Source organism: Homo sapiens, chromosome 16 (genome assembly GCF_000001405.40).
Source record: "Homo sapiens chromosome 16, GRCh38.p14 Primary Assembly".
In the NCBI taxonomy this organism is placed as follows: domain Eukaryota; kingdom Metazoa; phylum Chordata; class Mammalia; order Primates; family Hominidae; genus Homo; species Homo sapiens.
The window spans coordinates 88,564,634-88,580,416 of record NC_000016.10 but is presented as its reverse complement, the minus strand read 5'-3'; the positions used below and the strand labels follow the sequence as shown (position 1 = coordinate 88,580,416).

Genomic DNA, 15,783 nt, shown 5'->3' with positions numbered 1-15,783 from the left:
TTGAGCGTGGACCTTCCACTCACTGCCACTTCACATTACAAAGGTTCTCACCTTCAATGTGCCCCGGGCAAGTAGGATTCCTCTACTGACTGGCTGCCCACTATGTGCCAGGCCCCAGGGAGATAGGGGAACCAGCCAGGTAGCCCCCAGTCTTAGGAAACATGTTCTTGGGAATAGGGGAAGCAGCAGGCAGAGACATATACATATACACACACACACACACACACACACACACACACACACACACACACACACACACAGATGAACCTGTGTCACGACAGAGAGGCAGAGGCAACAGAGAAACAGCCTACGCAAATGCTGAGGTTGACACATAAAGGATGGAGGAGCCTGAAACGCTGCTGGGCGTGGGAACAAGAGGAGACCACGGGGGCTCCTGGGGCAAGCAACCCAGGGGCCTGAAGTCAAATGTGCTCTTGTAGAGGCTGAACCCACCATTCACAGCACTGCCCACCTTGGTTAAAGGCCTGCTGCCCCCACAGCAGGAGCGGGCTCTGCTCCGCCCTGCCCAGTCACACTCAGCATGTGGCACAGCAAGGTCCACCTGTGCTGGTGTCCAGGAGCACAGACCTATGGGGGATGTGGGGCGCTGGAGGCAGTCTGTGCGGTGGAAGAAACCTGCCTCCCCGTTTGCCAAGGGAGCTGTGCTGGGGTTTCCACAGCAGCACTCCGTTTTCAACTGTGGGTCCCCTCACAAGACGGTGCCAGGCAGGGCAGGCAAGGTCTAGGTAGGCAAAAATGGCAAATGGGGTTTTTCTTCCATGTGCTGTGTCTAGGGGAAACCAGCATGTCCAGGCCCTTGGCAGCCAGGGCCATTCTCCAGAGCAGCTGGACCCATCTACCGCACCGCCCGCGCCCATGGTGCGGCACTGAGAACTCACAGTATGCTCCACAGACATGGCCTTTCAGGACCACTATGGGGACCCTTGATCCGTCTGATGAATCTCCCCCAAGACTTGAGGGTCTGCAGCCAGTCCTCTTAAGAGGAACTAGAGCACGCCAGAGCCCTGGGTGCAGGACCTGCTGCACTCCCAGTGGTGGTGCAGACAGGGCTGTTACCCCCAGGACACAAAAACTCAGTCTCATGGGCATCCTCAACCCAACCAGCTCCCCCAGCTGATGAACCTGAATCTCACCGTCTCTCCTTTCCCTCTGCCAGCCCTGGGGTAGGTCTCCTCTTGCAAAAAGCACTAGCTGAGGAGACCACTTCCTACACTTCGCTGCGGAAAGATGAAACATCTAAAATTCTCAGCTTGCAGGTGCACACACGTCCCGTAAAGTCACATGAGCAATACTTCAAACCCTATAAATTACTGAGCAGTGCCACAGAGAGCAGCGATGGCCGGAAAGTCATATCCAAACGTGCATTGAGAGCACGCACGCCAGCATGCTACTGGAGAAGCATGGCACCCGCCGGGCGTGGTGCCTCACGCCTGTGATCCCAGCACTGTGGGAGGCTGAGACGGCCGGATCACCTGAGGTCAGGAGTTTGAAACAAGCCTGGCCAACAGGGCGACACCTCATCTCTACGAAAAATACAAAAATTAGCCAGTGGTGGCGGGCGCCTGTAATCCCAGCTACTCAGGAGGCTGAGGCAGGATAATTGCCTGAACCTGGGGGTAGAGGCTGTAGTGAGCTGAGATGGCGCCACTGCACTCCAGCCTGGGTTACAGGGTAGACTCTCTCTCTCAAAAAAAAGGAGCATGGCATTCAAGGCAAACCGGCGGTTACACATCTAACTGGCAGCCTTTACCTGCCTCAACCCAGAGCATGACATCAGAGAGATACTCTCGGCAGACACTCTTCACCGCAATGACTCCCCATAAGCACAATCCCCTTCCCCAGGATCTTTCAAAAAAAAAACAACAAAAACCCAGTTCAGTTCAACTGCTCTGTCCCTTGCTCACCTCCTTTGAGTTCAATAGCTCCGGCAAGTATCACTCAGGAGGACTTTGGGGTGTTTCTCCCGAAACACTCATAGTTTTTCCAACGGCATCAACTGCTAAGAAAACCCCACCTACCCATACCTAGGATCATAGATAGTACTACCTTCCCCTCAACCTGAAGGCCACATTAATTTAATGTACAAAAAAGTGTGCTGGCTTTGTCAGAAGTTGAGGTGCCCACCACAGTCTTTTCAGGGATATGTCCAAAGAGGCCTGGCCCAGCTGGTGCCCTCTCCAGAGGTCAGGCTCTAGGACCAGCATAAAAATGCCTAAAACATCCAAAACCAGATGGAAAATTTCCTCATTCTTTTCAGTCCAAAAACCTGACAAGAGTGGAAACCCACGTGGTTTCTGGTTGAGTGTTAACTTGAGTATCACTTGAAGACGGCAAAGACAAGGACAGACATTAACCCTTCATTCCTAGAACCTAAAAACACTGGGCGCTGGACCTTTCACTACAACCCAAACAATCCCACCAGCTGGCCGGCCGAGGGCCACGGAAACCCTGCTGGCAGCTTCTGGAGCTGCCTCTGCTCATTCTCGATTTCTGGCTCTTTCTCTCCAATCACTATGGGACTGAACCCAAAACAAGCCTCTCATTCTCCTGCACCATCCCTAGTAACAAATCACTAAGTCAGTCCCACACAGAGTCCCTCCTTTCCAGCACCAGTCTATGTCAGGCTGCTGGGCAGGATGCCCCGCGACGCTCTGCTCCATCATACTCACGTCTATTTCCCCATCATCGATTTCTCCATCATCGTCCTCTTTCTTTTTCTCCTTGGCAGCCTCCAGGGATTCCTTTTCTCCCACACTCTGAACACCAGCCTTCCCCTCCTCCCTGGGAGTGCCTTCGCCTTTCTCCTCATCATCCTCAGCCCCCGCTTTCTCAGCCTCGTCCTCCTGGACGGCGGGAGCTGGCTCCTCAGGAACCTCCTCATCGTAGTCTAGCTCATGCTCATCCAGCTCCCTGGTGACTGAGGAGGCCTCATCCCTAAGGTCGCTTGTCCGGTCTTCCTCCCCTTCGTCCCCCTCCTCCTCGCAGGGGGAGCTGGTCGGGCCCCGGCTCAGCTCATTCACCTCTGAGTCCTGGTCTTGGGATTTAGGCTCACTTGCCCGGTCCTCCTCGTCGGAGTGATTATCTTCCTCCTCCTGGCTCGGCCCCCTGGCTGCACTTTCCTCATCCTCCAGATCAGAAGCCCTCACCCCCGCCCCGTCCAAATCCTGATCGGACCCGCTGTCCCTCAGAATGTCATCGTCCGAGAGTCCCTGTGGCTGCTCTTCATCCTCTGGAGAGTGAGGATCCCGTTCAGGGCTCTCGGCCACATCCATCGGTACCCACGGTTCTGCAAAAGAGAGAATACAGATTGACAGCCTTTAGCAAAATGGAAAACAAACCTTGTCCCTACTTTCCTGGCCTGAAGCAGCAGGACTTCCATCCTGCTTGGTCCCACACGGCCCTGCCCCAAATCCCACACTCCACTCTGCAGAGAAAGACAGGCCATAACTCCACTCCACAAGGCTAGACTGCTCAGCTAAGCTGGGTGTTAAGTGCCTCCCGTTTTTGGCAATCTGGCAAAATGAGATGTGGCAGAAGGAGACGCAGCCTGGCCTAGCCCTTCCCCGCTCAAGGGCAGCCCACACGAGTTAACAGAAAGTGAGTAACGATACGGATCGCAAAGGACAGCTGTGTGAATTCTTAGAGGAGTATTTACTTTTGAAATTAAAGATAAACTGTATCATGGAACGAGGAAGCAAAACTGCAGGCCCAGATCTCACCATTTTTCTGGAGTCATCCTGAAGCAGGAACCTGGGCCAGCCTTCGGCAGTGTCCAAGTCTGGAGCCTTTTCTGTTACTGAACACACTTCTCGAAGGCCAGCCTCTGAGGGCCTCCGAGAATCCCTTGGCTGCCCTTTAGCAATGCAGGCTCAGAGCCCTGCCTGCGTGTTCACTGGCCCCTCCAGCAGGTGTCGAGAGGGCTGTGTTCACCCGCTCAGCAACTCACACTCCTAAGTTGAGAACCCCTCTTCCCATACAGGTAGCTGCTGTCGAAAAGAACTCTGGCAGGAAACTTGACACACTTAAGTACCGCGCGTATGTAAAAGACGAGGCTGGCCAGGTACGGTGGCTCGCATCTACAATCTCAGCACTTTGGGAGGTTGCAACGGGAGGATCATTTGAGCCCAGCAGTTCGAGACCAGCCTGGGCAACATGGTGAGACCCTGTCTCTGTAAAAAAAAAATACTAAAATTCAGGCCAGGCGCGGTGGCTCACACCTGTAATCCCAGCACTTTGGGAGGCCCGAGGCAGGTGGATCATGAGGTCAGGAGATCGAGACCATCCTGGCTAACACGGTGAAACCCCGTCTCTATGAAAAATACAAAAACTTAGCTGCACGTGGTGGCAGGCGCCTGTAGTCCCAGCTATTCAGGAGGCTGAGGCAGGAGAAAGGCGTGAACCCAGGAGGTAGAGCTTGCAGTGAGCTGAGATCGCGCCACCGCACTCCAGCCTGGGCGACAGAGTGAGACTCCGTCTCAAAACAAAAACAAAAACAAACAAACAAACAAAAACTAAGTCACAGAGTGTGGTGGTGCGTGCCTATATTCCCAGCTACTTGGGAGTCTGACGCAGGAGGATCGCTTAAGCCCAGGAGGTGGAGGCTGCAGTAAGCCAAGACTGCATCAATGTGCTTCAGCCTGGGCAACAGAGTGAGACCAATCTCCAAAAAAAACTCAAAAAACAAAAAAAGACGGGGTCACTTCAGACTTCATTCCTATTTTTACTAATCCAGATTAAATTATAAAGTTAATATTTTCGAGTTTCCCTCCTCAAAAACTCATAGAAAGTACACTGCTACCCATGCTTTAAAAGTGGACGGTGTTAAGACGGGTAGGAAGGTGTAGAACGGCAACACCTGCCTGGCAAACACTTGCCACACCACCACTACCAGGGCAGCTAGTCACCACCAAGTGAGTGTGGAGCAGCAGGGACAGTGCCAGGTCAGCGGTCACTTGACTGTTCAGTCTGTGAGGCTGTTAAAATAACGTATGTCACGGTCACACTGCTCGGCATCTCGGCAAGGTCTGGAAACAGATTATTCATCTCAAGATAACTACGGACGCAGCAAGTCATACACATACACATTTATATGTCTTGTATCTCAAATAACCATACACACTAAAGATAAAAATATTCATCTTTTAAATTTATACTTTTAATACAACCTGTTTAAAGATGCACAGTATCAAGAATTGGTATCAACCTACAGTTAAACATTTTTTTTTTTTGCTGTTAATGGAAATCATTAAGATTAAGTACACATTAGAGGCCGGGCACGGTGGCTCACGCCTGTAATCCCAGCACTTTGGGAGGCCGAGGCGGGTGGATCACGAGGTCAGGAGATCGAGACCATCCTGGCTAACACGGTGAAACCCCGTCTCTACTAAATATACAAAAAATTAGTCGGGTGTGGTGGCGGGTGCCTGTGTTCCCAGCTACTCGGGAGGCTGAGGCAGGAGAATGGCGTGAACCCAGGGGGCGGGGCTTGGAGTGAGCCGAGATCGCGCCATTGCACTCCAGCCTGGGCGACAGAGCGAGACTCCGTCTCAAAAAAAAAAAAAAAAGATACATTAGAACAAATTGGTCAGGTGCGGTGGTTCATGCCTGTAATCCCAGCACTTTGGGAGGCTGAGGTGGGCGGATCACTTGAGTCCAGGAGTTCTAGACCAGCTTGGGCAACATAGCAAAACCCCATCTCTACCAAAAAAAAAAAAAAAAAAAAAAAAAATTAGCTGGGTGTGGTAGGGCACCTGTCGTCCCAGCTACTTGGGAGGCTGAGATAGGAGGATCACCTGATCCTAGGAGGTTGAGGCTGCAGTTCAGCCTGGGTGACAGAGTGAGACCCTGACTCAAACAAAAAACAAAAAAGCCAAAAAAACCCAAATCTGGCCAGGCGTGGTGGCTCGCGTCTGTAATCCTAGCACTTTGGGAGGCCAAGGCAGGTGGATCATCCGAAGTCAGGAGTTCAAGACCAGCCTGGCCAACATGGTGAAACCCGGTCTCTACTAAAATACAAAAATTAGCTGGGCATGATAGCAGGTGCCTGTTATCCAAGCTACTTGGGAGGCTGAGACGAGAGAATCGCTTGAACCTGGGAGACAGTGGTTGCAGTGAGCCGAGATCACACCACTGCACTCCAGCCTAGGTGGTGGCTAAGCGAGACTCCGTCTCAAAAGAAAATTCAAATCATTTAAAATTCATCACTTTATAAAAACTAAATGGGCCAAGGGTGGTGGCTCACGCCTGTAATCCCAGCACTTTGGAAGACTGACGCGGGTGGATCACCTGAGGTCAGGAGTTCAGGACAAGCCCGGTCAAAATGGTGAAACCTTGTCTCTACTAAATATACAAAACATTAGCTGGGCATGGTGGTGGGCATCTGTAATCCCAGCTGCTCGGGAGGCTGAGGCAGGAGAATTGCTTGAACTCGGGGGGGCGGAGGTTGCAGTGAGCCAAGATTGTGTCATTGCTCTCCAGCATGGGCAAAAAGAGCAAAACTCCGTCTCAAAAAAAAAAACCTAAATGGTTAGCAATAACATAGATTTACAAACCAACCAATCCATTCCAAGTCACTTAAAAGCAGACAGTTCTGAAAATGATTCACTTTTTGGTTTTCTAAGTACACTATTCGGTTACTATCCAGAGACAGGACTACTGGGAGGAATTATTAAAAAGTCAGTCCTAAGCCAGGAGTGGTGGCATGTACCTGGAATCCCGGCTACTTGTGTGGTTGAGGTGGGAGAATCACTCGAGCCCAAGAGTTCGAGTCCAGCCTAGATAACATGGTAAGACCCTCGTCTTTTTATTAAAGGTAGTCCTAAACTGGTATACACTGCTGAAAATGGGAAAGTCAAGGAGCTGATCCCCAAACAGTATCACAGGGGCGCTTGATGCACAGAGCATTTCTGCAGCCCAAGGCAACAAAAGCAAGGATGAAAAGCACCAAGGCTGCTAAGGCCTCTACGCACTGACTGTTCAAGACTGGGAGTCTGCGTGGGGTTGTGGCAGTAAGTCACCGGTGGCAAACTGGCAATTCTCTCTCTTGCCTAGCTATCGACATTAGTAACACCCTATACTATCTTCGTACACTTTTTATTACAATGTATAAACATCTTCCTCATAGAAGGGCAGGTAGTTCACATCTCCCCAGCTGCCTAAGCGGAGCGCCTGGTGCCCAGTAGGATGCCCCAAGCTGAACCCAGACCTGAAATATGACAAATTCTGATTCTCATGTTTTATAGTTTAATGTCAACCTTGGAAACAAAGTGATCTCTTAAATAAACCAACTTTTATGCAAAACTAAATGTCTCCTCAAACTAGTTTTAAAAATCACACAATTGGCTGGGTGTGGTGGCTCATGCCTGTAATCCCAGCACTTTGGGAGGCTGAAGCGGGAGGATCACGAGGTTGGGAGTTCGAGATCACCTTGGCCAACACAGTGAAACCCCTGTCTCTACTAAAAATACAAAAATTAGCTGGGCATGGTGGCACGTGCCTGTAGTCCCAGCTACTCAGGAGGCTGAGGCAGGAGAATCACTTGAACCCAGGAGGAGGAGGTTGCAGTGAGCCGAGATCATGCCACTGCACTCCAGCCTGGGTAGCAGAGTGAGACTCCGTTTCAAAAAATAGTAATAAGGTGCTACGAAGGGAAACGTGGCCTCTTAAGTGTAGACAATGAAATGAGAAGTGTAGACAGGGGTGTCAGTAGAAGAGTCTCAACTGATACCCACGTTTGCAATTTGTGCTCAGTTTGGTCTTCTTACACTATCTATAACTGAAGATTTTCAGCACAATTTAGAACTAAATCCTTAGTCCTCTGATCCACCAGATGGGTGAACTTGCCTAAGGAATGAAATAACAAGTGCCCATCGTCCCGTCTCCGTTGCTTTCTGCATTTGGCAGATGATACTTGATAGATATTTGTTGAATACATGACAAAAAACTCGTTAATTGAGGAACTACCTGTTGCCTACCAGAAAGGAATTTAAAATAAGTGCCCAGGAGGAGGAGGTTGCGGTGAGCCGAGATCCTGCCACTGCACTCCAGCCTGGGCAACAGAGTGAGACTCCGTCTCAAAAAATAATAGTAATAATAAAGAGCAGGTGCTACCTCCCTTCCGAGCAGCCCCTCTGGGAGGATGCACAGACTCCAACGGCACTGCTGAAATGCAGAGCGTTTGGGGACCTTCTCATTGCGAATGACCTTCCAAGCCTAAAGAAGTCTTCTGGTATTCTTAGTGGTGGCAAATCTTCCTCCTCTCAAGCTAGTCACTTTGATAAAGTGCTGCAAGTCAGAGTCTCACCTGATAAGGTGAGCTACCAACCACGTAAGTAAACTTTTGGTCAAACCTGGAGGGTGACTATTGAATAAGACTGATTTTCCCATATGACTACATTTTTACTACCACAACAGGAGTTCTAAAGAGATTCTGGCAAAGAAGCACCGATGAAATACAAGCACATTTTGGGACAATTACTTTCAACAGAGCAGTACCTATTTGAATGCCTAAGTTCTGGTACATCTGGTTAAAATTCTGACTCATAACCTCATGGACTTAAAATATCTAAATGAACGTTATCAAGGTTGGTGACAGACCCCACGTGCAAAGTGACCAAGCGTGACCACTAAACTCCTTGATAAAGAGGTACTCACCTTGAGATGCTCTGTAGCTGTGACAAAATACAAATCTCTGTAAACACGATGTAGGCCATAGGTTAACTTACCTGTTTGCTTTCTGGAGTGACTCCACAAAGCTTTCTTACAATATTTCAGCATGTCCCACCTACAACGGGAGAGGAGTTTCCGGCTTTGGGACACATTTGACTGGTTCCAGGGCTGGCTGGGCTCCATACTGCCCTTAGATAGTAAAATTATCAGGAAAAGACTCTCCTCCCAAAGCTGGGAAGCGGGATTCAGCCGAGGTCAAACCTCACCCGGATAATCCCAACTACTGAACGGGAAAGGACTACTCTACAGACAACAGGCTGGAGGTGAGTCTAACAGGAGACATGATGAGCACCTTGCTACACCCCAAACGGTACTTCAGATGCCAAACACTCTCTTCTTCCATTTTCCCAAATGGGTCTGAAGAATGACCTACTCTTGCAAATGAGTTAGCGTTGTTCGAACAAAGCTCATTTAAAACGGCCACTCTACCCGGCAAACTCAGTTGTCATAAAGTATTCAGGAAAAATGTTTGGCAGGAGTAAGGCTGTTAAGTTTCAGTTCTTCCAGCATTATAGCTGCAGTTGGTCTATATAAAGGACCCAGCACCTCTGATCTCCTAATCCAAGGGGCAAGGAAGTTACATACTCCTAAGAGACCGGCGCGCGTCTTGGGGCAATCACTGCGCCCAACCTGTGCACACTTTGAAGCTGCGGAGCAAGTTCCAGGAGGTTCATAAAGAGCTCAAAGTTCTCCGAAGAGCCCAGCAGCAGCCCGGGATGACCTACTCTGGAGGTGAATCTGGGCGCCTCTCACCGCCCCTTAGCCGGCGGCACACATGTGCCACGCGAGTGGCCCGGAAGAGAAATGACAGCTTCAGGAAAATAAACTCTGCCGCGGGGCGCGGAGGCAGCGCGCGAGGAGCTCGGGCGCCCAGGGCGCCCCAGGACCGCGGGGCCGGCTTACGGACGGAACTCGGGGTGGTGCCTGTCTCAAGGTCCCCTTCCCTGGGCCCGAGGGCCACGCTTCGGCCGGTGGGTCCGCACGGCCGGAGGCGCGCCGGGCTCCCGGGCCTCCCTCCCGCGGCCGCCGCCGCCGCCTCGGCGGCCTCCTCCTCCCGCCGCCGCCGGCCCGGCCTCCCGCCGCCCTCCCGGCCCCAGCTAACCTCAGCGCTAGGGCGGAGAGGAGGCCACGGCTCCCCTGGAGTCGGAGCGGCGTGGAGAAGACGTCCCTTGGCCCTTCCGCTCTTCACAGGTTCTGGCTCCAGGCTCGACACGGGCGGAACAAACGGGCTCCACTACCCGCGGGGGCCGGCCATTGTGCGACGTCATCAGGCCGCGACGGTAGTCCTACGGCCGGCGGGCTTCCCTCCCTCGCCCCGCCCCCTCCAGCTTCCTTCCGGCCTCCGCGCGGTTCCGCCCCCGCAGCGCGCGCCCGGACCCGCGCGAGCCAGCCGAACCCCCGCTACAGCGCAGGCGCCACGGGGAGTTCGCTTCTCAGGCGGCGGGCGTGCGGATCCGCGCCTGCGCACAGAGCTCCCCGCGGCCGCCGGGTCACGTGACGGGGCTCCGGCTGGGCCGGCGGGTTCTTCATCCCCGGGGATGATCGAGTTCATCAAAGTGGAAAACTTAAGGCGGTCTTCGTCGGGCTGATACTTCCTGCTTTATTGAATGTTGATATTAAATGCTTACCTCCGGAATTATTTTTTGAGGTATCGACTTTAGATTAAAAGCCTAACAATTCTTACCTTTCCCGTGGGCTGCCTGGCTCCCCGCGCGGTTCAACGCGAGCAGCGCCAGTGAGGGGACCTGTCGCGTGTCCTGCTCAGCGCGGTGTCCCACGGGCGCGTCCACAGCCCGGGGCGTCCAGGGGCTGCAGCGGTGCGAGCTGCTCTAGAGACGGAGGGCCCGGCCGGAGACCAGGGGCCGGCGGTTTCATCCTGCGCTGACCCTTGCCAACGACGTGGCTGGTCCTGGGGATCACAGGGCTTCGCTCATCCCATCTTCCTCCATATCCCCAAGGTGGAAACAAGGGGGCGAGATGTCCACAAACTGAGGAACAGACAAAATGCTGGCTGTCCATGCAGTGGAGTGTGAGTCAGTCATCAAGAAGAGTGAAGTTCAGACCCATGCCACAACATGGGTGAACCTTGGAAACATACTAAGTAAAGCAAGCCAATCGCAAAAGGACAAAACCTGTGCGACTCCATGCTATGGACCGAGTTCTGTCCCCCTAACATTTGTATGTGAAGCCTTAATCCCCAATGTGACTGTGTTTGCAGAAAGGGCCTTTAGAGAAGTAATTAAGGTTAAATGAGATTATAAGGGTGGGGTCCTGATCTGATAGGATTAGTGTCCTTGGAAGAGGTACCACAGGCCTGGCACTGTGGCTCACACCTGTAATCCTAGCACTTTGGGAGTCCAAGGTGGGAGGACCACCTCCTCCAGGAGTTTGAGACCAGCCTGGGCAACAAAGCAAGACCCCTGTCTCTACAAAAAAATTAACAGGGCACCGTGGTGCGTGCCTGTAGTCCCAGCAACTTGTTATGGTTACGTAAGAGGAATGTGAATTCAACCCTGGTGATTTTGGGTCGTGTCAGGAGCAGCCCTGCGACACCAGTTGGCACCTTCTGCAGACTCTATGTGTCGATAAGACAAGGTCCCACCCAGCAAGTGCCCTTTTCTCAGCTGATGAACATAAGCCTGCATGGACGTTACTGTCCATGGAAAGGAGCGGCCGGCACCGGCTGTGACAGACACGTGCCTGTCTGCGATCTGAGTTTCATGAACAGTAAACTCTGTTGGTCACAGCCTCTTTGGAAAACAATGTTAGTTAAAAGAAGTGCCCTGTGACCAGCAGTGCCACCCTCGACAGGGTTCTCCAAGTGGGACCCGGGCAAGCAGCCTCAGTATCACTAGGGGTTGTTAGCAATGTGCCTTCCTGGGCTCTGCCCCAGAGTGGCCGCACCAGTGACTGGGAGTGAGGTCCCAGGGCCCTGTGGTCCATGAAGAGCTCTCAGGGGATTCTGATGCCCAGTGGTACAGGTGGGCCACCGGACTGGGGTGTCATCTGCCCGTGGGCATGAGACATGAACAAGGACATAGCAGGTCTGTTAGTAGTCATAACTAAAAGAACAAAGGAGCCGGGCACGGTGGCTCATGCCTGTAATCCCAGCACTTTGGGAGGTCGAGGCGGGCAGATCGCGAGGTCAGGAGATCGAGACCATGCTGGCTAACACAGTGAAACCCCGTCTCTACTAAAAATACAAAAAATTAGCCGGGCGTGGTGGCGGGCGCCTGTAGTCCCAGCTACTCGGGAGGCTGAGGCAGGAGAATGGCATGAACCCGGGAGGCGGAGTTTGCAGTGAGCCCAGATCATGCCACTGCACTCCAGCCTGGGCAACAGAGCGAGACTCCGTCTCAAGAAAAAAAAAGAACAAAGGAAAAAACCAGAAAACCACCCAGATGTTGATGAGCAGATGATTGTACTGTTGTAATAGTAATCTGGTACAACATTTGCAACATCGCGGTTGTTAAAAATGCTAACGCATGAACCTCCAGTGTGTATACACAGATATAAATAAACGGGTGAAGACCATCTGTGAGGTTGCATGACAAAGGCAAGTGCAGAAGCAGACAGGGTGGGCACATTTCTTTTCTTTCTTTCTTTCTTTTTTTTTTTTTTTGAGACAGAGTCTCACTCTGTCGCCCAGGCTGGAGTGCAGTAGCGCCATCTCGGCTCCCTGCCACCTCCGCCCCCTGGGTTCAAGCGATTCTCCTGCCTCAGCCTCCCGAGTAGCTGGGACTACAGGCGCCCGCCACCACGCCCGGCTAATTTTTTTGTATTTTTAGTGGAGACGGGGTTTCACCGTGTTAGCCAGGACGGTCTCGATCTTCTGACCTCGTGATCCTCCCGCCTCGGCCTCCCAAAGTGTTGGGATTACAGGCGTGAGCCACTGCGCCCGGTCCACGTTTCTATCAAATTGAAATCATGAGCGGTTTTGCTGAGGGTGTGGGGCACCCAGAGCCTGCGGCCTGTGCTCGAGTGAAAATGGTGGCCCCGCTCCAGAAGCCTGCGACGGCGCTCACGGAACCGCAGCCTTCGTGCGGCGGCACCTGGGCCGTGCTACTCCTCTGTGACTTCCCGGAAGAGATGAGCTGCTACGTCCAGCAAAAGGCACATCCAAGATCGTTCACCCCAGCATGACTCGTTACACTCCGGACTAGAAGGAACCCCAAGGTGCTTCAGTGACAGAACGATGAACCAGCTGGGGTGTAACCCCCATGCAATGGAATATCGTACAGGAACGAAAAGGACACGCTACCCCTACAAGCAACATGGATCTCAGAGGCAGGATGTTGCGCAGAAGAAACCAGACACAAATGCTTCGGCTCGTGTTGCTGCGACTCATTACAGGCAGCCGAATCTGCGGTGATGGGGGCCCCAGGAGCAGTGACCAGGAGGCAGTGCCACGGAGCCTGCGGTGGGGGCTGATAGTCAGTAGCGTGACCTGGTTGGGATGTTCTGTTTTTAAGCTGGAGTCCATCATGTTTGTTTATTTGTTCATTTCGTAGAGGTGGGGGTCTTGTAGAGGTGGGGGTCTCACTCTGTTGCCCAGGCTGGTCTCAAACTCTGGGCCTCAAGCGATCCTCCCACCTTGGCCTTCCAAAGTGCTGGGATTACAGGTGTGAGCCACTGCATAAGGCCGTTATTGTTATTAGTGCTTAAAAATATTTAGTAAACATTTTATTTAGCCTAAAAACCATTCAGAGAGCAGAGGCTGGATGGAACACGGCGTGCCAGGCGGTGAGAGCACAGACCCTCCTCTTCCAGAGCAGGAAGTGGGTAAATGACTTTTAAGCCTCATTTCTGGGGTGGCAAAACTCTTCTGTATGAAGAAGTACAAATATGTAATGTCCCATAATGGCAGCTATGGGACGTTACGTATTTGCCAAAACCCACATAACGCACAACGCCAAGAGTGAACTGTAATGTAAACTGTGGACTTAAGTCAATGATCGTGTCCCGATACGGGCTGGTTGGTTGTGATGCAGGGCAGGTGAGGCCCAAAGTGGAGCTTAGCCTGCCAGCGTTCTTGGCTTTGCCCAAGAAAGAATTCAAGGACAAGCCGGAGGTAGAAGAGAACAACTTGATTGAAGAGGCAGTGTGGCAGGTCCGTGACGGCTCCTGCAGAGCTGGGCTGCCCAGAAGGCAGAGAGCAGCAGCTCAACGCACTTCTGCAGACCCATTATACCCACTTTTAATTACATGCAGATTAAGGGGCAGTTTATGCAGAAATTTCTGGGGAAGGAGTAGTCACTTCTGGGTCACTGAGTCATTGCCATGGAAAGGGGTGGGAGTGTTGCCATGGCGATGGTAAACTGACACAGAACACTGGTGGGTGTGTCTTTTTTTTCTTTTCCTGAGACGGAGTCTCCCTCTGTCACCCACATTAGAGTGCAGTGGCCTGATCTCGGCTCACCACAACCTCTGTCTCCTGGGCTCAAGCAATTCTTCTGCTTCAATCTCCTGAGTAGCTGGGGCTGCAGGCATGGGACATCATGCCTGGCTAATTTTTGTATTTTTAGTAGAGACAGGGTTTCACCATGTTGGCCAGGCTGGTCTCAAACTCCTGACCTCTGGTGATCTGCCTGCCTGGGCTCCCAAAGTGCTGGGATTACAGGCATGAGCCACTGCGCCCAGTCTGGTGTGTCTTATAAAAAGCTGCTTCTGCCCTGCCCTGTTTTAGCCAGTCCTGTTTGGTCCCAGCTCCAAGCCCTGCCTCTGGAGTCAAGTCCTGCCTCCTATCTCAATTGTAATAAATGTTCTGCACCAGTGCAGGGTGTTAATAAGAGGGGAGATGGGCAGGGGTGCTGGGGGTACAGGGGAACTCTGCTCATTTTTCTTTTTTTTTTTTGAGATGGAGTCTCACTCTGTTGCCCACCCTGGAGTGCAGTAGCGCAATCTCGGCTCACTGCAAGCTCCACCTCCCAGGTTCACGCCATTCTCCTCAGCCTCCCGAGTAGCTAGGACTACAGGCGCCCATCACCACGCCTGGCTAATTTTTGTGTATTTTTTAGTGGAGACGGGGTTTCACCATGTTAGCCAGGATGGTCTCGATCTCCTGACCTCGTGATCCACCCGCCTCAGCCTCCCAAAGTGCTGGGATTACAGGCGTGAGCCACTGTGCCTGGCCTCTCATTTTTCTTTAAACCTAAAACTGGTCTAAAAAATTAATTTCATATTTTTTTTTTCACAAGAATGTGGAGCAACTAGAATCACGTACTCTGCTGCTGGGAGTGTGACTAGTGCCCTTATTAAGAAAAAGTCAAGAAACATTGGTATGAATATTACTGGAGATCGGGAAAATGCCGGAAGAGACCATGAAAAGAGTTAAAACTTGTTGCCAATTGGGGGTGGAAACTGGGAGGGAAGAGGCAGGAAGCTAGTTTTAAAAATCAACTTTAGGCCAGGTGTGGTGGCTCATGCCTGTAATCCCAGCACTTTGGGAGGCCGAGGCAGGTAGATAACCTGAGGTCAGGTGTTCGAGACCAGCCTAGTCAACATGGTGAAACCTTGTCTCTACTAAAAATACAAAAATTAGCCGGGTGTGGTGGCGGGCACCTGCAATCGTAGCTACTCGGGAGGCTGAGGCAGGGGAATCACTTGAACCCAAAAGGTAGAGGTTGCAGTGATCCAAGATTGCGCCACTGCCCTCCAGCCTGGGCGACAATAGCAAAACTCTGTCTCAAAACGACAACAAAAAACAACAAAAAAACCCCAACTTTATTGAGTTGGGGTTTGCCAAAATGAACACTTTTTTTTTTTTTTTTGAGACGGAGTCTTGCACTGTTGCCCAGGCTGGAGTGCAGTGGCGCAATCTCGGCTCACTGCAACTTCTGCCTCCTGGGTTCCATCGATTCTCCTGCCTCAGCCTCCTGAGTAGCTGGGACTACAGGGGTGCGCCACCACGCCTGGCTAATTTTTGTATTTTTTAATAGAGACGAGGTTTCACCATATTGGCCTGACCTCGTGATCCGCCTGCCTCGGCCTCCCAAAGTGCTGGGATTATAGGTGTGAGCCACAACGCCCAGCCCA

The 15,783-nt window shown here is 52.0% G+C and overlaps 1 protein-coding gene across 9 annotated transcripts in view, besides 5 other annotated features; it reads right to left on the bottom strand.

Moving 5' to 3' along the window:
- ZC3H18 (zinc finger CCCH-type containing 18) overlaps positions 1 to 10,014 on the bottom strand; it is a 61,562-nt gene extending 51,548 nt beyond the window's left edge. For 5 of the 9 annotated variants that reach the window (NM_001294340.2, XM_011522863.2, NM_144604.4 and 2 more), the window contains exons 1-2: positions 9,851 to 10,014; positions 2,691 to 3,307 (exon numbers count right to left, since the gene is read on the bottom strand). In NM_001294340.2, coding sequence (NP_001281269.1) covers positions 2,691 to 3,293 — 603 coding nt within the window. In that variant the 5' untranslated portion in view covers positions 3,294 to 3,307; positions 9,851 to 10,014. The remainder of the gene's footprint in view (positions 1 to 2,690; positions 3,308 to 9,850) is intronic. The other 4 variants (XM_047433609.1, XM_047433613.1, XM_047433611.1 and 1 more) reach the window with 1 other exon arrangement.
- Positions 9,424 to 9,473: an enhancer, noted in NCBI's record as "active region_11356". NCBI's record gives its function as "activates an Ori minimal core promoter by ATAC-STARR-seq in GM12878 lymphoblastoid cells {active_cell/tissue: GM12878}" and the evidence as "EXISTENCE:reporter gene assay evidence [ECO:0000049][PMID:35858748]".
- Positions 9,744 to 9,813: a silencer, noted in NCBI's record as "silent region_7858". NCBI's record gives its function as "represses an Ori minimal core promoter by ATAC-STARR-seq in GM12878 lymphoblastoid cells {active_cell/tissue: GM12878}" and the evidence as "EXISTENCE:reporter gene assay evidence [ECO:0000049][PMID:35858748]".
- Positions 9,994 to 10,323: a silencer, noted in NCBI's record as "silent region_7857". NCBI's record gives its function as "represses an Ori minimal core promoter by ATAC-STARR-seq in GM12878 lymphoblastoid cells {active_cell/tissue: GM12878}" and the evidence as "EXISTENCE:reporter gene assay evidence [ECO:0000049][PMID:35858748]".
- Positions 10,564 to 10,613: an enhancer, noted in NCBI's record as "active region_11355". NCBI's record gives its function as "activates an Ori minimal core promoter by ATAC-STARR-seq in GM12878 lymphoblastoid cells {active_cell/tissue: GM12878}" and the evidence as "EXISTENCE:reporter gene assay evidence [ECO:0000049][PMID:35858748]".
- Positions 10,724 to 10,833: an enhancer, noted in NCBI's record as "active region_11354". NCBI's record gives its function as "activates an Ori minimal core promoter by ATAC-STARR-seq in GM12878 lymphoblastoid cells {active_cell/tissue: GM12878}" and the evidence as "EXISTENCE:reporter gene assay evidence [ECO:0000049][PMID:35858748]".